General features: G+C 39.9%; 1 protein-coding gene and 1 pseudogene across 4 annotated transcripts in view; both read right to left on the bottom strand.

The window, feature by feature from the left end:
• Window positions 1-22,607, bottom strand: part of POTEJ (POTE ankyrin domain family member J) — a 46,960-nt gene extending 24,353 nt beyond the window's left edge. The window contains exons 1-10 of one of the 4 annotated variants that reach the window (XM_017004741.3): window positions 22,587-22,607; window positions 21,743-22,245; window positions 16,751-16,895; window positions 16,447-16,620; window positions 13,534-13,640; window positions 12,082-12,219; window positions 9,551-9,621; window positions 3,666-3,736; window positions 2,232-2,276; window positions 1,029-1,195 (exon numbers count right to left, since the gene is read on the bottom strand). In XM_017004741.3, coding sequence (XP_016860230.1) covers window positions 1,029-1,195; window positions 2,232-2,276; window positions 3,666-3,736; window positions 9,551-9,621; window positions 12,082-12,219; window positions 13,534-13,640; window positions 16,447-16,620; window positions 16,751-16,895; window positions 21,743-22,152 — 1,328 coding nt within the window. In that variant the 5' untranslated portion in view covers window positions 22,153-22,245; window positions 22,587-22,607. Of the gene's footprint in view, window positions 1-1,028; window positions 1,196-2,231; window positions 2,277-3,665; window positions 3,737-9,550; window positions 9,622-12,081; window positions 12,220-13,533; window positions 13,641-16,446; window positions 16,621-16,750; window positions 16,896-21,742; window positions 22,246-22,586 lie in introns of those variants that run through there. The other 3 variants (NM_001277083.2, XM_017004742.2, XM_017004743.3) reach the window with 3 other exon arrangements.
• On the bottom strand, window positions 10,741-10,847 carry RNU6-848P (RNA, U6 small nuclear 848, pseudogene; annotated as a pseudogene).
• Window positions 22,608-26,731: the final 4,124 nt, after the last annotated feature.

Here is a 26,731-nt window from a genome sequence, read left to right as displayed (position 1 = left end):
CTAGCAATCTTGTTGCTAACAAGGTACAGCGTCAATATAGCATGTAGCTTCCATTTGCAACACAGGAAATATTACAAGAATTTTAACAAGAACTCTTAAGATGTCATCACTGATGCTTTAAATACACTTTAATTGTGAAATAATCAGTATACTCTAGATCTAACCTCACTTGTAAAAAATGGTTGCATACTACATTAATTTCTGGGTATGAAAATTGAGCTATTTCCTATTGGTAATGATTTACTTTTGATAATGATAATTTCCTATTGATAAGGATCCATCTTTTTGATATAATAATGCTGTAATAAATGTCCTTATACATAAGTATATATGTAACAAATCTACACAAATATCCTTTACATATATTATATATCCTTATTGTTATACATGTGTTTGTGAATATGCTACTAAATTAATGTTCAAAATGTATTTACCAGCAGTGTATGAAATGTCTTTTACAATGAAACCATTTCTTTTGCAGCAACACAGATGGAGCTGGAGGCCATTATCCTAAGCAAACTAATGCAGGAACAGAAAATCAAATGCCACATATTCTTACTCATTAGTGGGAACTAAATAATGAGAACTCATGGACACAAAGAGGAGAATAACAGGCACCAGGGTCTACTTGAAGGTGGAGCGTCGCGGGAGGGAGATGACCAAAAAACTAACTTTTGGTGTTTTGCTTATTATGTGGCTGATGAAATAATCTGCCGTCCAAATCTCCATGATACACTTTACCTATATAATAACCCTGCACATGTACCCCTGAAACTAAAAGAAAAGTTCACTAAAAAGAAAAGAAAATGCCTTTTCCCTCACATTTGCCAATACTGGTTATTTTTCAAATAAATTAATGACTGGAAAAATGGTAACTCATTGTTCGCTGATTTTCATTTTTCTGATTAATGGGCAAGGCTGAATATCCTAGTAAAACTATAAAATTTGTTCATCATGAATATTAGCCCAAACTAGGGTTAGTTTGACAGCACATAGTTATCTCCTGTTCAATGTTGCCATAGGCTTACCTGTGATACTCTTCACTTTCGTTGTCAGGAAATTGCTGATTTTCAGGTGTTCTGCTCTTCCTTTGAGGAATTAATCCATCATCACCATTGCCAGCAGTGACACCATTACTCAGGTTTTCTAGTAATCCCACATTATTACTTTCATGCTTCTTCATTTCTTCTTCAACCTTGAGTGGGATATTAAGGATAGTTATCACTTTATTGAATAAAAAGAACCTTTTTAATTGATTCTATCAATTGACTCAGTTTGTCATTATTTTAGTCATTAAAAATATTTCACACTTAAATTTGATCATATATATAGAAATATTACCATATAACTTTAAGATGTAATTATCATCTCATTAATATATCACAGAAATTTTTGTAAAGTTTGCTTCATTTCTGTTTCAATGAATGAAACAGAATTTTCCAAAATTCAAAAAGGGCCCTCCTTCATTTTGTGCTTTTATTCTCAATCACTCTTCAGAATCTTATGTATGTATTTACCCCATTTGACTCATGGGAACACGCAAATAAAAAGACAAAGATGCAAAATGTGTCTTCTGTCTTTACCACCTAGATTTTACATTAAACAGTCAGATTTAGAGGATGACACACTGTGCGGCTTCAGGAATAGAAAGGAAGTTTGCCCTTTTCTGCGCTAAGATATTCTTCTCCCCCACTGCCTTTGAGCATTCTTTTTTCATTTGGTTGCTGAGATATCAAAAACATGATGGTGCTCACTGAAAATGGGAGCCAAAGTTTGCCAAAACACAAGAAGCAGAGTGAAACTGCTGACGTGCAAGCATGGAATTCCAGAAAATGAGATGCTCCCCAAATTTCACATTGAATAGCCATACAATTATCTAGCTGGAAGATACACAGAATAAGAAGCTATCTTCTTTAGCCACATTATCTATTGATAATCAGACTAAAACCAAGAAAGATAAAATGATTGGTCCAAAGCTCCTAAAGTGGCATTACCTAGCATTTTATGGCACCATTCAGGATTGTTCCATAATAATCAAAGAATATCTCTAGGGTTTGTATCTCTTGAAAACTCAAAGTACAGAATTCTTTCTGAGTTAAATATTAACTTTTTCACTCATGATTTATGCTACTTACATGATAGGATCATGTATGCCTACACTTACTACATTTTGTTAAACAACATAATGTAAAAATCTAATTCAACAGAAACATTTGAATATGAAGGTATACCTCTCTATCACCATCCTTATTTATTTCTGGTTCTTGAGACATTTTCTGCAGAGGCAAAAACAGAAGGTTAATTTGCTTGTTGTGTTTCTGTGATGTCTCCTCTTTTGGAGCGCATGTTTTAAAAAAATTTTATTCTTAACTAATGAAGTATGGACGATGAAAAATTAGAAAATAATTAAAATTAAAATTTAACTGTTAAATAAATAATAATTAAAATTAAGAATTAACTTTTTAATCTATGTTTAGCTACTGCCACATTACTGGCTTCTGACTAACATGTGAAAAATAATTCACCTTAGCCCAAGGAAGAAAAAAAACGTGAACCAGCAAACTTAACTTGGTCACCATTTGTTTGGACTAAACTTGTTATGTGTTAAATCTACCAAAAATGAATCAGCAGATGATTTGTAGTATTCCAAAACCTTCCTCACTTGAAAAGAGTTTACCTCATGAAACCCTAACAAGTGAGCCCCTACAGTGCACTGAAGTGCTTTTCTAAAAGATTCCTAACTGGATTGTAGGCACCATTTAAATTATTAGGAGCCGAAATCAACACCAAACAGAAAGAGATGCAAATTCTCCAATTTTAATTGAGATTATATACTGTCATATGATAGTGTTATGTATCCAGATTATCTGCTTAAGTCCAGTTCTAATATATTCTAATGTGTACTAATTACAGTGGATAAAGATTTTTTAATAATATGTACTAATTTTCTGCAACTGAAATAAATTAGAATGTTATTGTGTTTGTGCACTAACACCAAAGGTTCCATTCTGCAAGATATGATTCTTGTAATAGGCAGCTGTGTTGCTTTTATGACCTGGTTCCCTCCCTGAACAGAAACGCTGAGGTCAATGAGAGACCATAAGGCAGAATATATTTTTAAGCTTGGTATCAGTGACTGACAATATAAAACTGCAGATTTTCAATCACTGGCCATGATTACTCCTTAACCATGAATCCAGCTCAGGGACCATCAGAGTTACATTGTTCATAATTCTATTGCTTAATAACATAATCCAATAATTGATGTACCTTCTTCATCATGTTCGGGTGTTGTAAAAATAAAAGAACAAAGTTCTGAAATTTGTTTTTGCCTCTATTCCAAAAGGAAAGATTAGCTATAAGCTAATCAAAAAGGCAGATGAGAATATTTTAAATAAAAATATTATAAAATAAGAGTATTTTAAATTTTATAGTGGTTATGTTTTTTAAGTTAAATATCAAATGTTAAATTAGAATCCATTCTTCTGTTAATGAGATTACTGAATTTATTAAAATAAATTTTAACAATCTATTAAAAAATTCTTTAAAAAATCTATTGATTCTCAAAACCTAGTCTGAAAGGTAATTTCATTTGGACTATCTAATATTATTAAAGCAAAGAAAACAACATTAAATCAAAAATTTAAATTTAAAATTTCCCATGCCTCTGGCTGGCTATTTTCACTGCCTTTGAACCTTTGTGACTCTTCCTCTGATGTCAGCTTTAAGTCTTGTTCTGTTGAGAAATCCATATATTCAGTTAAAATGAACCACTTAGAACAGTTAAAAACTATTGCCTTTATAAAAATAGATTTAAGACAACATTTTATTTCATAAATTGAGTGTTTAGTTTTTCATGAAATAGTTATTTAGGAAATAATTCTCCCAAACTTCAACAAACCACTTGGGGAGACACCTGATGTCATTCACTCACAAATTCATCCACCCAACATAAATGAACAAAACCACCAGAAACACAACTTTAAAATACAGTAGAAACATATAAGGTAACACAGTATGTTGTTCTCCACTTCCTAATAGTGAAGCAGTAAATGTAAAGAAAAGGAAATTTAGTTTTAAAGAGAAACAAGTTTTCCTGCACTTAGCTAGTCTGACTCTAAGGATAGTAACAAGCAGGGCCCAGGAAAGGTCATGGTGACCCTGCCTGAAAAGCCAGAGCCCACAGGTATGGGCTCCAGACATCCCACAGCAAGGTTAAGAAAACAAAATCCTTTACTGTCTCCCCTTCCCCTCAGCATTCACTCAGAGCTGTTTTTACAAATGCATATTATTTGCAAGTTCCTGTTGTCCTTCAATGCAGCTGCAAGGTCATAAGCTACGCTGAGGTTGCAAAACTGTCACTATATGATTAACTGCCTTTGTTCTGCTTCTGTAAGCTTGCCTACATAAGCCAAGCCCTGTCTTTGTTCAGGGCTCAGCTTTCGGATGCAAATCCGCTGAGCTGGTGCGAACCTAAATGAAATCCTCCTGTTTCACCCACTTGGTCTCTCCTGCTTCCTGTTTTCTGCAACAATAGTACCTTACAAATGATTTCAAAAATTACTACTGACACCTTTATTAGTGTACAATGTCTTCCCAATATCTAAAATGTTTCCCTCCACGATTCGGACATATTTATTTTCATTTTTCTTTCTTTTTTTTTTTTGAGCCAGGGTCTTGCTCTGTCACCAGGCTGGAGTGCAGTGTCGCAATCTCAGCTCACTGCAACCTCTGACACTCCCTGGTTCAAGCGATTCTCCTGTCTCAGTCTCCGGAGAAGCTGGGATTACAGGCATGCACCATCAGGCCCTGCTAATTTTCGTGTTTTTAGTAGAGATGGGGTTTCACCATTGGCCATGATGGTCCTGATCTTTTGACCTTGTGATCTGCCTGCTCCAGCCTCCCAAAATGCTGGGATTAGAGGTGTGAGCCACCACACTTATCCTTATTTTTATCTTTTAAAACAATGCTATGAGAACGTCTTCCTTGATTCTGCATGTCTTTCCCCAGATAAACAGGTACCTCCTTCCTTGAGGCTGCCTTAGTACTTCACTGATTTTTCTACTGCATCTTTACCACCTGAACTCTACATTATTCCTCCACATGTCTGTCCCGTCTGCTCCAAGACTGCAGAGGACAGTCTTGCACATCATCTTACTCACATTTTACTCAGAAATTTCTTATTGAGTCCTGCTAAATACATGCTAGGCATTAGGGTTTAAAAACAATTAAAATAAAGCATGTCAGGGATGGCTTTTCTAGAAAACATGCCCAAGCAGAGACTTAAATATTGAGACTAGCCAGATTAAAAGGGGTAGAGGGCAGGAAAGGGTGACGGCATGCCACACAGCAGCAAGAGCGGGAGCGAGGCCTGAAAGAGTGAAAATATTTGCCTACAATAGCAGGATGAGTGAGTAGGGCATTGCCAGCAGCTCAGTAATGCCAGAGAAAGGGCACACAGGGAAAAGGCCTAAAGATGGAGAGTGGGGCAGAAGTCAGATTATGAAAGCCTTATGTGTAATTTTAAGATGCCTGGACATTAATGTTCAAGAGAGGTCCCTGATCCTATCTGCATTTAGATATAGATCACTTTAAATGCCAAAACCAATATTCCTAGTGAACCATTATTCATTAAGACAAGGTGACAGATAGCTCATGTGGACACAGCTGAGATGATACTATGTAGCAAATTCTCAATAATTCTCATGAACACTTGGAAAGTCAATTCTATAAGAAGTCAGAGAAATTATAATAAATCACTTAATACTTGGTTTGGGAAGGTGATTTCTAAAGTTATAGTGCCTATGAATTTAACTAATAATTGTGAATTCAGAGCTGTGACAATAAAGCAAAGAAACCACATTGTGTTTGAGTCAGCAATCTTTAGATTTCTATCCAGTCTTCCTACCCAGTCCGTAAATTCTAACTATAATCCTGGTACTCACTCTCAAGTTTATGTTAAATACTAGCCTATACAAAAAACACTCTTTCTCTTTTTTCATTTTGTTATTTATATATTGCTTTGTTTAAAGGAAGAACACAAAAATGCCCTGCTAAAGGGATTCTGTTTGGTTGCAGGCTGCAAGCGGGGAAAAAATCAAAGTGTATTTTGCAGAAAATGATTTTTTAGAAGTCAGAACTATGACATGAAGTCAAGCAGGGCACTCTAGGACTGAATTTGCTGTGCTGCCTTCATATGCTCCTTGCTCGCTCTTTTCTGGCAGCTGTGACTCACACAGGTCATGGAGAGTATCATTCCCTAAAAGGAACAACTCCAATATTCATCTTTATCCATTAAGTTCATCTGTCCCATTCTATGTCTGTGGATGCTAACTTTTGATCATTGATGGTGATACACATGGACATTTATCATCAACTTTCAGATTCTTGGATCTTTGACAAGTCTTATTAGTGAGAGTCAAACTAGTAGGATGCGAGTTATAAATGCTGGTTATCCAATTACCTACTCAAAATATCCTACATGAATTTTCCATTAAACATGCATAGAAAAACATTAGTCATTCCTGCTGACCTGCTGCTCTTTGCTCTTCGGTATTCACCAGAAAATTTCCTCCTTCTTCCTCACATCCAGGTTAAATACTACTGTACAACCTGGAAACCTGGAAATTATCTGACATTTCTCTCTGTCCCCCAAGGCTTTCTCATTCAATTATTACTAAATCATATTGACGATACCTCTCTTCTGCCTCTGCTTTATATTCCCACTGCCACTGGGAACACAAACATTTACAAAATGGCTTTTATTTAAAAAAAAGCCTGCCAACTATTAATGTTATTTCTTACATGAAAAAAAATTAAGCAAAACAAATGAAAAAAGCATAACACCAAAAAAACAAAGGCCAACATATTAAAACAAGTAGTTGAGATTCCTAACTTTATGTATTTCACTAAGGACGGGTGAAAACCTTGTAATACATTGATGCTACTCCAAGGATGTATGACAAGGAAACTATAGCTGACTACTGCAAAAACTTCCTTTGTCTCCTGGTTTCTTTACAGGGTAAAGAACCTTCCATCAATCCCAGCAAACTATAGGCCACAGGCCAAATCCAATCTGCCTTATGGTTTTGTAAATAAAGTTTTATAGGAGCTCAGTCATGCCTGTTTGCTTACATATAATCATGGTGGCTTTCACACTACAACAGCAGACAACAGCAGGGTTAAGTAGATATGACAGAGACCACATAGTCTAAAATATTGCCCACCTGGCCATTTACAGAAAAAGCTTGCTAACCCGTTTTACACCATAACCAGAATGCCTTAATACTCAAATTTAATCTTGTGACTCCCCTGCTCAAATTTCTCCAATGAGCCCCTGCAGCACACATTGTTGGCTCCCTATCAATAGCCATTCCTTATTCTTTCTTGAAGAAGAAATCCAAGTCTATTGGGATATTTATTATCCCAATCCCCCTCCTCAGCCTCAGAAACAGAAATGTTTATTCTAAGCTAATCAGGTATTTACCTTCCCAGTGCCTGGTTTGGGAATGAGCATGTGGTGTGACCCAGCCAATGAAATGTTACAGGAAGCCCCTTGCATGCTTCTAAGTTTTCTCCCTGTTTAAAAGACACATGTGAAGAAAAGCAGCCCTTGCGATGTTGTGTTGTGAGAACAAGATGTTTGGAGCTGCTGCGGATTAGCCAACCATGAAAGGAGACGTGAATAAAACACTGCCAACAGCACAGCTGAAAGAGGGAAAAGTGGGATCCTAGGATATCAAAGAACAACCAAAACAACTCTGGTTCTTACTGTTTTAGCCACTGTTCATCTAGTATTTGCAGTCCAAAGCATTCTACCCGGTAAATTTCCCATGGCACACAGGATAAGACCTACTCATCTCTATAGTATTAAAAAGTATATCATAAACTTGCCTTAGCTAAGTATTCACCTCACTCCCAACTTCTGGTATCTCACACTTTTGGTACTAGCAAAAGTGAACTGCTCAGAAACCCTGCCATGTTCACTCAAGCATCTTGTCTTTTGCACTTGCTGCTCTTCCTCCCAAACAGGCAATCTCATTAGATGTTCCTTCTGGCAAACACACGACCTCGCTGCATGTTCCTTCTGCCAAACATTCTTCTTCTGCTTCTTTACCTAGAAAAATTCTTCTCTCTCTGCATGCTTACCTTAAATCATACCTACTTTTTTCCAAAACTTTCATTCCTCATATGTCTGGCACATAATCAATATATAATAAATCATAATTATAAGCTTCCAGTGGGCATCTAGCACACAGTAAGCACTGAATAAAGTAGTAAAATAATGAAAATGACAATGATAACAAAAAGCTCCTGTCTGTATTTTTAATTGTTTGTGGTCTATAGCATTAGAAAAATGGTTACTATCTAAAAGACATTTGATAGTTATATGTTAAGTGGACAAGTGAAAACATAAATAGCAATGTTTTCTTTGTAAATTCTGTTGAAAAAGCACAGAAATGAAATGGAGACAGCTCTATTATGAGCACCTTAAAGATCAAAACTACATCTATTCCATCTTTGTCTCCTGCAACTTATAAAACCTAACTTACAAAAGCTCTTTGATAAATAGATGGCTAAATTAAAGGTGTCCTCATACAGTTTGGACTATATAATGTATTAGGTGTCCACAACCAGGTAGCATACTAGCATTTTTGTTAGTGTGAAACGTTTTTCTGCTTTTATTATAATCTGCTGAGCCTAGAGTTGGGCAATTTGTATATTTATTATGACAATCTTTTGGCAAATGGTAGCAGAGCATCTTGTTCTAACAAAATTACTGTTATGATGACAATTAACCAGCAGGTAGGAGAACACATCTTGTTCCAACAAAGTAAATATATCTCTTTCCAACTTCAAATGAGGAGGAATGAAGTCAGTAATAGTGAGACCTTATTGGGACAAGCATATGTAACATGACTTGTGCTTCAGTGTTCTTTTGTGATCAAAAATTCCTTACTTTTACTTTTTTATCTATGGTAGGACCACGCAGAGCAGGGGTCCTCAACTCCCAGGCCACACACTCATACCAGTCCATGGACTATTATGAACCACACCACACAGGAGGAGGTGAGCAGCAGGCAAGCCAGGGAAGCTTCATCTGTATTTACAGCCACTCCCTATGGCTCATATTACCGCCTGTACTCTGCCTCCAGTCAGATCAGTGATAGCATTAGATACTCATTGGAGCATGAACCTGTTGTGAACTGCCCATCTGAGGGATCTAGGTTGTGTGCTTCGTATGAGAATCTAATGCCTGATGATCTGTCACTGTCTCACTTTGCCCCCAGATGAGACCATCCAGTTGCAGAAAAATTAGTTCAGAGCTTCCACGGATTCTACATTATGGTAAGTTGTGTAATTATTTCATTATATATTACAATGTGATAATAATATAAAGTAGCACAATAAATGTAACATGATTGAATAATCCTGAAACCATCCCCACCTTCCCCCAGCCCATGGAAAAATTGTCTTCCACAAAACCGGTCCCTGGTGTCAAAAAGGTTGGGGACAACTGACTAAAGTAATTCACTATCACAAGTCTTACCTGGATTGCTGTTTTCAGAAGAGATTTTTAGCATCTGTTTTTCTTTGTAGTCAGAAAGTAACTGGCAAATTCTATGTATAAAAATGTAATAAACCAAATTACTATTTTAATACTGATATAAAAATCTTACCAAATGCAGAATTATTAAGAGTATTTCAAACAATATCAGAATATCAGAACTTAATAGTATTATCCCATCCACTTATGAGTACATTCTACAAACTTCTCTTTAAGCTTCTAATTAAAGACGAAAAAAATGTAAGGTGAAATACTCATAAATCAAGGGCACTGTGACCCAGTAAATTAGCTAGCATTAGCATGACATAATAGAAAGTGTCCCAACTCTGCATAAGTCCTAGCTCCATAATGAACAGCTATTTGTTCTTGGACAACTTGTTTCTCTTAGGCTCAATGTCTTCTTCAACAAAGTGAGGACTTTGCTGCCTTATTTCACTAGGTTGTTATAAAGATTTAACGAGATAACATTTTTTAAATGCTCAGAGAAATAGTAAAGCAATGGAATAATCTGTTCCTAAACTTTATGACTAAAATTATCTTGGAATCCCAAATAAAACCCAATGCGTATTTTGTTCATAGGTTCTAATATGCAAATGTTGTAGTTTTCAGAAAATGTTATTAAGTCCTAATTTTGCTTCTTAGTTGTCCTACTCTTTATGGCTTATAATTCAGGGCATCTCAACTATGTCATAGTTTATAACTAAATTTATTCATAAATATCTCATTAAAGTAGATAATGTGATTGTCCACTATTACGGAGTTGATCAATCACACCAAGGGCAGAAAAACCAATGGATGTTAAGACCTGACTTGGACCAACGATCCTTCTCTACAGACTCAAACTCTCAGCCAGTAGATGTCTGTTAGGATAATGCTTTATATTGATGTTCAATTCCAGCTGACATGGGAGACCAAAAGTCTACTTTTATTTATTTTAGTTTCCACGGAGAAGTAGCAAGCTGACATTCTGTAATTTTCGACATACATACTAACAATATATTTTGCACCGAACATGTTATTCAGGTCTAAGTCATCTCATAGACCATCTTACATGACTATTTTTGCAGCAGAAATCACAATTTCAATATTTGGGTGGCACCCATTTTGCTTTGATTCACACTAATTCCTTAGAGCTAGTCAGCAAATAGTCAAATGACCTTCCAGTGACTGCACAAAATATGGAATGCTTCAAAGATCTGTGCTGCCTCCTTATGCAGAAGCCACGCTAACTTTCCCCGTATTGTTCCAATTTTAGGATATGTGCCGCCGAAGCAAGCACAAAGCCCTACTTTTACACATGATTAGTGATGCGTCATGGACAAGGCTTGGCTCTGTTAAGTCCAACTAACCTACTTGAGATTCTGAGAATTCTCTTCAATGGCTTCCTGTGAGCTAGAGTTTGAAAATATTTTAAAATCTTGAGCTAGAGATGGAAGTAGCTGGGACAATTTTCATTATCATGTAAATCAGATCACTCAAGGGGCCAACCACAGCTGGGAGCCACTGCTCAGGGGAAGGTTCATATGGGACTTTCTACTGCCCAAGGTTCTATACAGGATATAAAGGTGCCTCACAGTACAGATCTGGTAGCAAAGAAGAAGAAACAAACACTGATCTCTTTCTGCCACATTATTTGAACCCCTCTCACCCTTTAGAACAAGCCCACCTAATATCTGCTAGAGAAAAGACCAACAACAGCCTCAAAGGATCTCTTACCATGAAGGTCTCAGCTAATTCCTGGCTAAGATGTGGGTTCCACATTAGGTTCTGAATATGTGGGGAAGGGTCAATTTGGTCACTTTGTGTGCGGATAAAGTCAAGATGCCCAGCGGCCAGAGCAGGGGGCTGGTGCTCTGGGAACAATGGCTGAGCATATAAGCATAGGTATGGGAATTAAAAAACATCAAAGTCACTGTATGAATCGCCATGAAGACTTGAGGGATCTGAATCTACTGATTCATCTTAAGGCAGCAGGACCAGTTTGAGTGGCCACAAAGCAGCAACAGAATCAACGGAAACAACAGAATGATTGCAATGTCTTTTTTCCTCCTCCTTCTGACTTGATAAAAGGGACTGTCTTCCTTGGATTTAGTAAACCCCTTCGGTTCTTGAAAAATTCAAGGAGTATGTAGGACATAGTGCCCAGAAGACAGTACAAGACTTTCCGCTAAACTGGACATTTCAAGACCCAAATAACTAATCAGAAAAATTAAAGATGTGACACTATTTTTTATCCCATGCATAGGTGTTACACTTGGATCAAATGAACAATGCTGGGATCTCTAAGGATAAAGATCTTAAAAGTCCTGAGATAAAGAATCCCGCACCCATTGGTACTTCTAACTTGTCTTGCTTTTTGTCTGATTTCTGGCTGATGCAGGGGACTAACTCACTGCCACGCGAAAACTACCTGAACCAAACTATGACATCTCACCTGATATGTAAGATGCAACTGTTATAATTATTTTAAACCTCAATTCAGCATTAACTAGCCTTTTAATGTGAACACTTACACATGATGATGACTAGAAACAGCATACTCTCTGGCCGTCTGTCCAGATAGATCTTGAGAAGATACATCAATATTTTGCTCAAGTAGAAGGCTGACTATACTTGCTGATCCACAACATACAGCAAGTATGAGAGCAGTTCTAAAATGACAGAGATAGGAACTGTAATAAAGTTATTTTTAAAGCTAATTTGATATACTTTACCAATGTAACATCTTGCCTGTCTGTGCAGAATCAAACATTTACATGCACTAAAAGACATAAGCATCTTGAGTGCTCAAGTGTTCATCTTTGTAAAATACCACAAAGGTTAAAAGGAAGGGACCAAAAAAAACCCTCTTATCTCAGTGGGGTATTGCATAGCAGAAGCTACTAATTTAACATCCTTTGATGGGCAAGAAACAATGTTAGGGCCACTTATCTGAAGTGGACAAAGATTTAAGTGAAGAGTTTGTCACAGCTTCCCTAGACAGATATGCTGTAATAGAAAATCAGCTAGGGGGTAAGAGAAATAAGAGCTCTCTGCATGCTCAAAGCAGTAATATTAACAATGGTAAGAATAGTAGTCATAGGAGTTTCAGTTAATGGTGCCAATAACCATGTGCTAGGCACTGAATTAAATCCTACATTTATCTTTCTTACTTATGCACAGCCAACTTTTAAGGATATATTCTCCTACTTTTCATACATGACAACACATTTGGTGGTAAATAACATCCCCAAGGTCACACACCTAGCAAGTAAGAAAGTTAGGAATTAACCCAGTCTTGTGTGAATCCAAAGCCTAGCTCTTTTCTCTTTATCACCCACCTACATCTTGCCTTCATTAAAGGAAAAGTGTATCCACTTAAAACTATCTTCACTCCCTCTCTCCATACCAATTAAAACTAAAAACACCAAAATACACTGGAAATAAAAAAGGAAAAAAGCTGTTGAACCCACAGTATGTGGGAACAGCAATTAATTGTCATGTAGCAATAAGCTAACATTAATATTCTTCAAAGAAAGCAACTTAAAGCAGAGTCATTGAAAAGACAAAAGGATTTTCAACCCCTATTTATGTTTAATACAGCATATTTAGTGGAAAAGCATGTAAGACACAGAGGTTAAAAACTATTAGAAAGGGTTAAGAAGTTCAATACTGAGTCATAAAGTAAACTAAAAGTTAAAGTTCAAACTTCATAAAATTAATATGAAATGCCTTTAGCTAACATAAGATCATGTAACCAAAAACGTCACATAACAAATAACATCAGTCAATATAATGAGAAGACGAATCCTACTAAAACTGTTCTTTATGTTGCCCAGTCCAAGTAATTGTTTTTCTACCTAACTGATTTGTGTTGATACTGATCACTACATCCCAGTAAGTATACATTAATCTTATTAATTTAATATTTATGACTTGAGTGACTGCTATCCATCTAGAACACAGATTAAAAGAAAGAACTATACCTTCCATATCTATCCAGTGCATTTAAATTCGCTTTTTTCTTGATTAAAAATTTCACCACTTGCTGTTTTTGCTCATGTACACCAAGTAGCAGTGGTGTGAGGCCATGCTGTAAAACAATATAAAGCAAAAACCTATGTAATTCAAAAAAGTACATATTCCTCAACCAAAGTGGAAACTTTATATAAGATCTTATGGACTTACACGCATAGAAGTAAATAAAATGTAGTCACTTCCTTCTCACTCTTCTGTGCTTTCCCACACGCTGCTCCTTCCCTTGGAAACACCCCTTCTCTGCCTCACCACAGTAACTCTAATCATCTCAAAAACTCACTTTAAACATTTACTGCTTCCAAGGCTCTTTGCTTCTAAACCAGCATTTGGCATGGTGTTATTGGATGATAATATTTTTCCCATCTAAACAAAAAGCTTCTTGAGGGCAGGGGCTGTATCTTTTGTCTCTATATCCTCAACCCTAAGACAAATTGTGTATAAAGCAAGAATCTGCATGTAAAATATTTCTTTAGTTTCATGTTTTACCAAAAGTTCAACCTCCAACATGCAACAAAAATTGCTATTAAAACTCATACTGCCCATTTGAAAAAATTTTCCAACATTTATTTATTTAAAATCTATTTGTATTTAATTTTCCCAGATTGTTAACTAAACCATCAGTTCATAGGACTACTGAAACTAAATTAACAGAATTCCTATCTGTATTCTTAATAACTCCATGGTTTTTAGTGTTTAAAACTGCCATGCTGATTATGCCAAAGCTCTACATACTTAAGAGACACACTGGATAGTCCATAATACAGCGTCAATTGACAAAAAATGGTTTAGAATTTGCTACAATTCTAATTGAGAAAACTCTGCTCTTAACGACTTACTGACCTAAGTACTTGAATGACTGAACAAAGAGACACAAAATCCTGAGAGGGCCATACTCACAGCAAATTTCTAAAGACCTTCTGAATGGCAGTGAATAACTGATGGTAGAAAGGAAAAGGTATTATTCTGTAAGCTGATACATACTACCAATAATATTCATTTTAATGTCTCAACCACAGAGATAAAAGTCAGACTAGGTCAGGAATGGTGGCTCACACCTGTAATCCTAGCATTTGGGGAGGCTGAGGTGGGTGAATCGCTTGAGCCCAGGAGTTCAAGACCAGCCTGAGAAACATGGCAAAAACCTCATCTCTACTGAAAAATAAAAAAAAATAAAAAAAATAAAATAAAATAAAAAAAACTGAGGTTGGAGGACCATCTGAGCTTGGAGAGGTCGAGGCTGCAGTGAGCTGTGATCACACCACTGCATTCCAGCCTGGGAAACAGAGTGAGACCCCATCTCAAAAAAAAAAAAAAAAAAAAAAAAAGTCAGATTAATGTTATTGGAAAGATTTAAAGAAATCAGCACATATCCAACCCCAACTCTTCTAGAGATACCTTAAGTTTCTGAGACATAAGAATTTACATATTACATTTATGTATTGAGTGGTTCTTAAGCAGGAGTGTATCCAGATTTTGAGAAAATTGTTGTTGTTGTCGTCGTCGTTGTTGTTGTTGTTGTTGTTGTTAGAGACAGGGTCTCATTATGTTGACCAGGCTAGACTCGAACTCCTGAGCTCAAGCAATCCTCCCACCTCAGCCTCCCTAGCAGCTGGGACTACAGCCATGCACCACCATGCCTGGCTTCAAGGAAACATTTTCAAATATACATATCCAGGCTTTATTAGACTTACTGTATCAAAATATTCAGAAAAAGCCTAGACTTGTTGATTATTTAAACATTTTCCTCAGGTTACTGGGATGCACAATTCTAGCTGAAAGCTAGTGCAACAGACAATTACTTCAGTCTCATTTCTCACCCATATGACCAATTCCCTTTCTCATTTGAAGATTTGGCCAAAAAGAGTAAGGAGTAGGAGAGAGACCCATTTGCTGAAAACACCACATGATTTTCCCCGGTAAGAGAAGAACAGGGTCTAGTCAACTCAAAATCCAACTTGATCTTGTTACTTATTTATCTTCCACCTTCCCATCCAGACACTCTAGATTTGAAAGCAGAGCTGAGACTCTAATTGGCCATTTCTACCAGAATAGGATACTAAGTCAGTTAATTACTTGATATTCCCTCTGCTCAAGGGTTTCCCCTTACATTACCACCTATTCACTGCCAATCTGGTTCCTCAGAGGCCTCCTAAAATTGATCTCTATTCAGTTTACAACCCACTAACTCCCTCTCCCAAACTGAAAACTGTCATTCTCTAAAATTGAAGAGAACCTTGTCTCACCATACAAAGGGAACAAATCAATCAACAACGACAACACACACACACACACAACCTCTTCATGGTCTTTTCCCTCTATTACCTAATTTCCAAATTGGCCTTGATATTTCTGATTGCTCTCTTTTCCGCTTTCCACTTCTGCCTCATGAGCAATCAGAAATATCTTAAGCCTTGCCACTGACAGGCGCATCACCTTCGTATCTATTACTGTTTCTTAGGAACTTGCCAAAGGGGCAGGATCTCTATTCATTGAAACATATTTAAGTTTTCTTGGAGTTTTCATGTAAAACCTATTTCAGGGCAAATTTTGCCATTTTACATTCATTAGGGGAAAAAAATCCTAGGAGGGAAAAATTGAAAAATAGTAAGTATTACCTTCTACAAATTCAGTGCTTTCAAAAAAATTATTTACCACAAGCGCATTAAAAAAAAAACTGTACCCTCTAATGCTTCTTTGAAAGTAACAATATTTAAAATGAAGTCTTAGATAATTAGGTCATTTCAAAATATTTTCATTCAGGTTATGCTTGAGCTTCCAAATATGGAAGACTGGCCCTTACACAGGTCAATGTTAAAATGAATGCATTTCAGTATTTGAAGATAAAATTGGTAGATCTATACCTTGTTTTTTGATTCGATATCAGCACCGTATAAGAGCAGTGCTTTGGCCATTAATTTATCTTCATTGTAGATAGCGTAGTGTAGAGTGGTATTTCCATACTCATCTGGAATGTTTGGATCAGTGCCATGTTCCAGCAACATTAACGCACATTCATCTTCCTGGCATTGTACGGCCTGTCAGTATTAGACCAAAAACAAATTACAAATCCTAGGAATTCAAAATAACATTCCACAGCTTTCACCACCTAAGTTATATTTAAAGGAGAAAACTCATTTTTATGCTATGTATTGAAATCAAACCCACCTCATGCTGATATAGTTGGCTACTGCATACCTTTGTCAGAGCTGTCCTCTTTTTGTTGTCAAGGACATTAAGTTGACATCGTCTGTCCAGCAGGAGTTTTACTACTCCTGAATTCCCATTGGCAGAGGCCAGATGTAGAGCAGTCCTATGAGAGTGACAAGACTTTTTAGGAAATTGTAGTGCACTAGCTACAGCCATAGCAATGATTCATGTAATTGCAAACACTGAATAGCCTGCTATTACTCTGCCTTCAAAACAAACATTTAACTTTCCCATGAAAAAAGCACACTATTTATTATCTCTCTTTACTCGCTGTATTAATGAAAGAGCATCCTATATGAATACAAAGAGCATAGCCCTTGGATGACATTCAACTTGAGCTGGAATCCTACTTGAAGCTCTGTCACTTCCTGGCTGTTGCTTAGCCTTTTGGGGTCTCAGTTTCCTCATCAATAAAATAGGAATGAAAATAGTAGCTTTCTTACGGGAAACCACTGTAATGCTTAAATGAGACTCTGCACAAAAGATATAGAATAGTTCCTAACACAAATAACAGCTCAATAATTGTTAGATATTTTAATTTTTACTAATACCACTAAAGACAACATTTGAATTGAGATGATACAATTATACCTGCACTTTCAGGTGTGTTTTAAATATTACAGCTAACATTGTATTTTAGTGATTCTGAGATGATCATTGTCTCCATGTTGTGTCCACTGAAATACCACTTACAATTCATGATTTACTATAATTTGCGGCATTTAAATAATTCTCTTATTGAGGCATAAAATAATGGGGCATCATACAATCCCTGGTGTCTTACATTAAGTAGAATATGTTACAACAGGTCTGGGGCGGTTCCAGTCAGATGACCAGCATTTAGATAAATTTTAGTTCCTAAAAGAACTATGGAATAAGAGAGCAGAGGTGAAAACAAAAACAAATTTCTAAAATAAACCAATTCTTACTTTGGTTTTCAATAAACTTTAAGTCAAAGAAAACTTGGAATTCAAATGAATAGCATGGGCTCATTTTTGTCAACACTTAGATTTATACAATGTATGTACATCAGATATTTCCAATCATTCATATTAGGATTTAAGACTGTTATAAATTTTGTTGTTTTAAAATGGATTTATGAAACTATTTGTGGAGCTTTTTTCAACTTTTACATTCAGGGATACATGTGCCGGATGTGCAGGTTTGTTACATAGGTAAATGTGCACCAAGGGGGTTGGTTGTACAGATTATTTCATTACCCAGGTGTTAAGCCCAGTACCCGTTCGTTCTATTTCCTGCTTCTTTCCCTCTTCCCACCCTCCACCCTCTGATAGGCCCCAGTGTGTGTTCCTTCCCTCTAGGTATCTGTGTGTTCTCACCATTTAGCTCCCACCTGTAATTGAGAACGTGCTGTATTTGGTTTTCTCTTCCTATGTTAGTTTGCTAAGGATAATGGCTTTCAACACCATCCATGTCCCTGCAAAGGACATGCTCTCGTTCCTTCTTTTATGGCTGCATATTATTCCATGCTGTTTATGTACCACATTTTAGTTCTTAAAACAACTAAAACAGTCTTTTCCCCAAGACATAAATTTTCAAAAGGGCAGTTAAAGGTTATCTATTACTATTTTCTACCTCCAGAAATGCTTTTGTTTGAAAGGAGGGAGGAAAAGCTTCAATTGAGATTAAGTCCTAATGCCCCAATTTTAAATCTCTCAGCTTGCTCAAGCCCAGCAGGAAAACATGTAGTTTTCAAAGACGGAAGGATCCTGAGAGATAGTAGAATATGCCTGCCACATAATAGGTGTCTGGCTTATGTCTGATGACTAAATGGATAGGAAAAATGGATGAACACAGCTTGGGAGTTCAATATTTTTAAAGAAAACTCCTATAGAGTAGCGCAATACATTTGCAATAGCAATAATCATTTATATTTGCTATTTTAATTTTCATAAATATATAACTCAACTAAAATGATTAATTCATACTTTTTACATGTTAATCTATATATAATGAAAAGATAATTATGGAATAAAATGTATATATAATAAAATCTACAGGAACAGGTAAACACGACCCCTCTTCTTCTGAAGAGGGTAAAAGTTCACAGAAAATAGCCAACCACAGAAATAAAAATAAATAATAGAATGTGAGGAATTATTTGCATCTATGCAAGAAGCATATTCCTTCTCTTCCCAAGGATTATTGCATTAGTAATGAACCTTAACTACAACTTCAGATGTTCATTGCAGAAATCACAGATAAGAGAAAGGGAAAAACTTCACTTACAAATCCCCAGAAACAAGTTTGATCATATTTTCTACAGATTTTCAGCTAACACGAGCAGATTCTGTTCGTGTATATGTGTAACAAACTGATTTTTTTCTCACTTGATATAGCAAAGTACATCTTTGCACGTCGACATATCTCTGTATCTACTGACACCCTCAATAGTTACATATTATTCCATCCTATGGATGCACTGAAATTTGTTCATAAAATCTTTATATGGGTTCTTCTAAATACACTGCTATTTTAAGCAATACTAAGAAAAACACATCTATTTCGTAAAGATATTTCAGTATAATGGAATTGATAAGTAAAAAGCATACACATTTTTAAAATGTAGTTCTTACCACTAAAGTGTCTGTTTGAAAAGCTGCAGCAACTTAAACTTTAAACAACTACATAAGTACCACTGTTCTTCATCCTCACAAACTTTGTGGATAGAAAACAGTATTTCATTCCTTTTTTTTTTTTTTTTCTTTTTTTTTTGAGATGGAGTCTCACTCTATCACTCAGGCTGGAATGTAGTGGCGCGATCTCGGCTCACTGCAACCTCCACCTCCCTGGTTCAAGCAATTCTCTTGCTTCAGCCTCCTGAGTAGCTGGGATTACAGGTGCGTGCCACCATGCCCAGCTAATTTTTTGTATTTTTAGTAGAGATGGGATTTCACCACACTGGCCAGGCTGGTCTCAAACTCCTGACTTCATGATCCACCGCCTCAGCCTCCTAAAGTGCTGGGATAACAGGCGTAAGCCACTGCACCCGGCCTTTCATTCCTCTTCTAACTTAAATAGAAAGCAGTATTTCATTCCTCTTCTAACTTAAATTCCTTCTTCTACCAGGAACACTGTATTTTCCTATGTGCATAGGTCACTGGTAGATATGCAAAAAAAGTACTTTGCCCAATTTTAAAATGAGCTTATTTTATTATGTCTGCATATATACACCAGGCACGGTGGCTCACGCCTGTAACCCCAGCACTTGGGGAGGCCAAAGTGGGTGGATCACGAGGACAGGAGTTCAAGACCTGCCTGGCCAAGATGGTGAAACCCCATCTCTAGTAAAAATACAAAACAATTAGCCAGGCATGGTGGCAGGCGCCTGTAATCCCAGCTACTCAGTAGGCTGAAGCAGAGAATTGCTTGAACCTAGGAGGCAGAGGTTGCAGTGAGCCGAGATCACACCACTGCACTCCAGCTTGGGCTACAGAGTGAGACTCCACCAAAAAAAAAAGTATATATATATATATATATATATATACACACACACACACATATATATGTATATATATACACACACATATATATGTATATATACATATGTATATATATGTATATATACATATGTATATATATGTATATATACATATGTATATATATGTATATATGTGTATATATATGTATATATATGTATATATATCTGCGTATATAAATAGGCATTTATATTTTTTCTGGTATGTTTCTCCTTTTGTATGTTTAAAATTTTTAATCTATACTCTTATTTTTGTGACATAAAAATCTAGCTAGTTTTCTCCAAAAATGAATTATGAACAATCCATCTTTTTTAAATAATACAAAACATCACCATTATCAAGTGCTAAATTCTTACATATATTTGGGTATTTCTAAATTTCCTATTCTGTTCTATTCATTGATGTCTTTTCAGCTGTTAGTAAACAATTTGTGGAAATAAATAACACATGCACATTTTGATATCTGGAAAAGCAAGCCTTTTTCCATTCTGTTACAAAAAATTAATTTATCACAATAATAAAAGACAGCATGTGTAATTTAAAAACGCTAAAACTTTGCTATTTTTATTTGGCTTATGTAAAAGTGATAAATAGAAAAAGCTCACATCTTTTTTTTTTTTTTTTTTTTTTGAGACGGAATCTCGCTCTGTCTCCCAGGCTGGAGTGCGGTGGCACTATCTTGGCTCACTGCAAGCTCCGCCTCCCGAGTTCACGCCATTCTCCTGCCTCAGCCTCCTGAGTAGCTGGGACTACAGGCACCTGCCACCGTGCCCGGCTAATTTTTTTTATAATTTTTAGTAGAGACAGGGTTTCACCGTGTTAGCCAGGATGGTCTCGATCTCCTGACCTCGTGATCCGCCCGCCTCCCAAAGTGCTGGGATTACAGGCATGAGCCACCGCGCCCAGCCAAAAAGCTCACATCTTAAGAAAATTCAATCTTCCTATTCAAGCACAGGAACCATCTTCCCATTTCAGTTTCCTTCTAAGGTTCCTCAGTAAAGAACGTATTTACATAGGGTACATTGATATAAAATCCATACTGGATTTTATTTGAAGAATATTTAGCCCTGAAGTTGATGTGTTATGGGGCTTCATTCTTAGTTCTCAATATACACTTTTCTATAATGTATAGAACATTGTTTTAAAATCTGTAGATTAAAAATAATCTGCTGCATTGACTTAATTAATTTTGCAAGTTAAATCACTTTAAAACAGTCTATTAGTGTTCTACGAGGGAAATTATAATTTGATTGGAAATCAGCTAAAGTTTTTTTTGTGTGTGTTGCTGTTCATAAAGGGGCCTGTGCCCTGACCTCTCTGAGGTTTCCACAACCAGGGTGGTGTGAGGCCTGCGGAGGTGAGAAAGCCAGGTCCCCCTCCTCCCCCGCCAGGAGGGTATGTCCCCATCATCCCCCGACCTCCCACCTCCTCCCAGCCCAGGCCTGGTTACCTCTTTTGCTTGTCCTGCTTGTTCACGTCAGTGTCCCTGAGCATGACGATCAGATCCTTTCTGGCGACTTTACCCCACCAGGCAGCTCTGTGGAGCTTGTCCAGATCTTCTCGACGGACGTGGTATCTCGGCTCCACGAAGGCGCTGTCGTCGTAGTCTCCCCAAGCACCCACGTTGCTCTTGCCGCTCCCCCTGCAGCAGGGGAAGCAGTGGCAGCACCACTTGCCCATCTTGCTCCTGAGTGTCTTCATAGTGGAGTCGTCCTGGTCTCCAGAAGTGCCCACGTTGCTCTTGCCGCTCCCCCTGCAGCAGGGGAAGCAGTGGCGGCACCACTTGCCCATCTTGCTCCTGAGAACAAATGGCTTCTTCACAGAAGAGGCAGCCGGCATTGAATCAACCTCAGCTACCATCTGCTTTTAACAGCCTGGGGAGGCCGGTAGTAGCGAGCAGATCACGTCTACCAACCAGTTTCACCAACTAGCAGGTAACTCCGGGTTTCCAATCTGTTTGAAGAGAAAAGTCAATCCCAGCCAAAACCTGCCAACCCCAGCAGGTAAGCCCAACCCACCCCACCCAGGGAAAACCCACACCCACCCGGGGAAAGCCCACGCCCACCCGAGGAAGGGCCAACCCCCCCCCCCCCAAGAAAACACCCAGCCCACCCAAGGGAATGCCAAACCCAGCAGAGAAAAGGTCAAGCCTAGCAAGGGAACGCGAGAGAGGAAACGCCAATCCAAGGAGGAAACGTCAATCCAAGGAGGAACACCAGGCCAAGCGACCAACACCAAGCCAAGCAAAGAACGCAAAGCCAAGCCAAGCCGCTACAGGCCAGCCAAGCAGTTACCCGCGTGCAGCATGCGCGTGCAAGCCGTTACAGGCCAGCCAAGCCATTACGCGCGTGCGGCGTGCGCGTGCAAGCCGTTACAGGCCAGCCAAACCGCTATGCGCGTGTGGCGTGCGCGTGCAAGCCATTACAAGCCAGCCAAGCCGCTGCCGCGTGCGCGTGCGGCGTGCGCGTGCGGCGTGCGCGTGCGGCGTGCAGCGTGTGCATCTCAGGTGGCGTCAGTGCATGTGGCACAGACAGTGGCCAATGCGTGCAACCGCGTGTTTAAATCTTGGCGCCACGAATGTCACCGACAGCCTTATGTTCCTGGCAAACTTCATGGGAGTCAGCTGAGCTTTCAGGCCATTGAGAAGCCTCTGGTGAAAAAAAAGCCTCTTGAAGCAGGACTGGGGCTAAGCGGCTGGAACTTGAGGATGCTGACAGCCTCCTCTGAAGAAAGCCCCCGGGACACTCCTGGCGGTGCTGTTGTGCGTGGCAGCGTCTGCAGCTCGGAGCTGGGGCTGGAGGAGCTGGCTGCAAATGGCCTCAAAATCCCGGAGCACAAGATGCCCACTGAGCCCAGCGCCTGCCTGAGGTGCCTTTGACACCTGGTCCTCTTTGCTCTGCACCCAGAACACGAGGCCATCAGCGAGGGGGCATTTGGGGCCACAGGATCGCGGCCAGCTCCTGCCCCGGTGCCCCCTGCCCGGTGTCCAAGCCAGGGCCAACAGCTATAGGGCTTCTGGCCTGGGGGGCTCTGCTCCACTGGCATGCAATAGGGTCAAGGTGCAGACCGCTGTGTCCACGCCGGCAAGAGGGGGCTTGGAGGAGCAGTCACAGGACAGTACTCTCCCCTCCTGTGGATGACTCCTTCCTGCCCTTTCCTCTCTCTGCTAAAGCCTCCAACGTTCTCTGTCCCATCCATATGCTCCACTTATGCCCCTGCTTTTGCTTTGATTTTCTCATTAAAATAAATCTGCAGGCTGGCTGGGTGCAGTGGCTCATGCCTGTAATCCCAGAACTTTGGGAGACCGAGGCAGGTGGATCACCTGAGGTCGGGAGTTCGAGACCAGCCTGACCAACATGGAGAAACCTTGTCTCTACTAAAAATACAAAATTAGCCAGGCGTGGTGGTGCACGCCTGTAATCCCAGCTACTTGGGAGGCTGAGGCAGGAGAATCGCTTGATCCCGAGAGGCGGAGGTTGCGGTGAGCCAAGATACTGCCATTGCACTCCAGCCTGGGCAACAAGAGCAAAAGTCCATCTCATAAATAAATAAATAAATAAATAAATAAATAAATAAATAAATAAAATAGATCTGCAGGCTGCCCCCTCACGGCAACGTGTCTTCCCTGCATTACTGCAGAAGGATGGCCACACCCCTGCCCTGGCGGACTAGACCTCTTAAGGACACCTCTGCCTTCCACCTCACTCCTGAATCACCCACTTCTTCCTCTCTAGTCAGTTGTACAAACGTGCTTTTTCCTGGCCCATCTTTAAAACATCCTCTTCATGCTTCGCTCTCCAGCTGCATCCCATTTCTCTGTTCCCCTGTAGAGCAAAATGGCTCCAAAGCGTGGTCTCGTCTTACCTTGAACACCCCTCCTCCCTCTCGCTATGTGAGCTACTCCAGTTCAGCTCTCCACCTCTGCACTACCCTGAACCTGCTCCTGCCGGCAGCAATGGCCTATGGAGAAGTGCAGCCCCCAGCTGTAAGACAGGGGGCCTCCCTCCCTGCTGCTCCTCAGCACCCCCTGCACGTGGCTTCCTGGACCACTCCTCTCCCGCTCCAAGGCCCCTCCTCCGCGCACATTTCGGGACTCCTGGCTGCCCAAGGCCGCTCTTCTGTTTTCTGTCCACACCTGCTCCCTGGGGTTGCATTTATTCCCGCAGCTCCAAATGCCACCTGCCTGCTCATCGCGCCCCGCCCAGGCCTCTCCCTCGCTAGGAGCGTCTCCTCCGTTTTTCCACTTGATGCTCATAGACACCACCTCTCGCCCTTCCTTCACAGTCAGCTCCAAACAAAACAGTCTCCGTTTCAGTTCATGGCTCCTCAGGACGGAAAACCCCGAGTCCTCCCCGTGTGCTCTTTCTCTCACACCCAGATCCAACCCAGCATTAATCCCTGCGACTCTTGCAAGCTTCCAGCCTCCACCGCCCTGACCTAGGCTCCGGGTCCCCTCGCAGCCGCCTCCACCCTGCGCCCTGCGGTTCATGCTCCACACAGGCTCAAAAGTCAGATCGCGCCTCCCTGGCTCCACCAGAGAGCAGGCCTGCGAGGCCTACAGCAGGGGCCAGCACTCCCTGCTCCTTCCTGGGCCCAGCGCACTCTTTGCAGGCATCCTGGCTCCCTCAGCAGAGGAGGTCTTGCCAGAGTGTCACTTTCTCTGTGAAACACTCCAAATGTCCCTTTATGCCCTCATTTTTTTACTCTCCATAGCATTTTTCTTCCTCTAATATACTATTTACTTATGTTGTTTATTTTCTTTCTTCTCCTACCAGAATGTACTGGCCATAAAGGCAGAACTTTTTTTCCTGCTTTGTTTACCTTTGTATCCCTGGTAGCACAGACGTATTTAATATTTAATTGTTGAGAGAATGAATGAATATGCTCCCCCTATTTACCTATCACTCTGCTGCCCTGCAACGGGCCCTCAGCTTCCTGCTAACAAAGATTCTCTGCTTGGCCAAAGGGTAGTCCAGCTCCCGAACCTCCTCCTACGTCCATCTGTGCACGTCCTGGTAAAATTCAGTTTCACCAAGAACCTTGGTAAGTCAGTTTAGCAAGAAGCCCCTACCCTCAATACCTCATCGCCCTCCATATCTGATGAGGCTCCTCATCCTCCATCGTCCCCAAGGTGAAGTCTGACCACCATGGCCTGTCGTCAGCAAGAATCCTATTGGGCCAGATTAGCCAGAGTCCTTTAACTCTGAATCACCTTTTAGTCATTTTCCACCCACTGCCCCCAACCCTGCTCCTTGGTTATCAGCTCCCCCTCGCCCATGCTGTATTTGAGTTGAACCTGATCTATCTCGATCCACCTATACCTACCTCAATGGTCTGGAATAAAGTCCACCTGCCATGCTAGTAACGTTGAGTAATTTTTCTTTAACACTGCTCATGCTGACCTTATACCTGCTGACCTCAGCCCCTCTCTCCACCACTCTGTGTCCTCCACCCAGTTTTGCTGGCTCTTCCAAGCAGACAATGTCCTCCCTGCTTTCTGTTTCCACAGTCTTTCCTCCGCATCTCTTCTTGGACACTAATGATTGATGTGTTCATCTCCCCTCCCTTCCACACTAAGCTTAGCCCCACAGCCTCTTGTCTAAGACTAGCTGAAGTAGTGCTTGAAGAAACCAGCTCTGAGAGGTTAAACGGTCTGCCAAAACCAGTGAGGTCCCTACCTCTGTGCATTCACACCTGCCACCTCTGGAAAGAGACCTGGCACTGCACCCTGCTGAGGCTGCCCAGCTACCCTGAGCCCTTGCCCAATGCCACCAACAGTGAATCTGCATCAGAGACACTGGACTGAACCCTAGCTTTTGGCGATTTGCTAAGTTAGAGAAATCACGTGTTTAGCATTGAACCCAAGCAGCACCTGTCTTAGTCTGTTATATGCTGTTTATAGCAGAAAACGTGAAACTGGGTAATTGATAAAGAAAAGAAATTTTCATTTCTCTCCCAAGGTCGAGGGAGCACATCTGGTGAGGAACTTCTTGCTGGTGAGGACTCTGCAGAGTCCCAAGGCAGTGTAGGACAGTCCATGGCAAGGAGGTGGAGCATGCTGATGCTACCTCTTCTTCTTCTTCCTTTAAAGCCTTCAGTCCCATTGATATCATAATGCACTAATCCATTAACTCATGGTGGATGAGTCCATTCGTGAGAATGAAGCCCTCAGGACCCAATCGCCACTTAAAGAACCCAACTTCTCACACTGCCACACTGGGGATTCAGTTTCAGCAGGAGTTTCAGACAGGACAAACACTGCTATCATAGCCACCCCTCTTCTCATGCCACCCAGGCTGGGACCCCAGCCTACCCTGCAACTTAGCCACAGGGCACAAGCCCCAAGGCCTCCTACCCCCTGCCACATTCAGGAGTCCCACCCAGTCTTCCTGAAAGGCTCCCACTCTTCCTTCTTCTTTCCAGCCAGAATGGCCGTAAA

The sequence above is a fragment of the Homo sapiens genome, chromosome 2 (assembly GCF_000001405.40).
Source record: "Homo sapiens chromosome 2, GRCh38.p14 Primary Assembly".
Taxonomy (NCBI): domain Eukaryota; kingdom Metazoa; phylum Chordata; class Mammalia; order Primates; family Hominidae; genus Homo; species Homo sapiens.
Note: the sequence above shows the minus strand (reverse complement) of the source record. Positions and strands in the feature narration are given on the sequence as shown.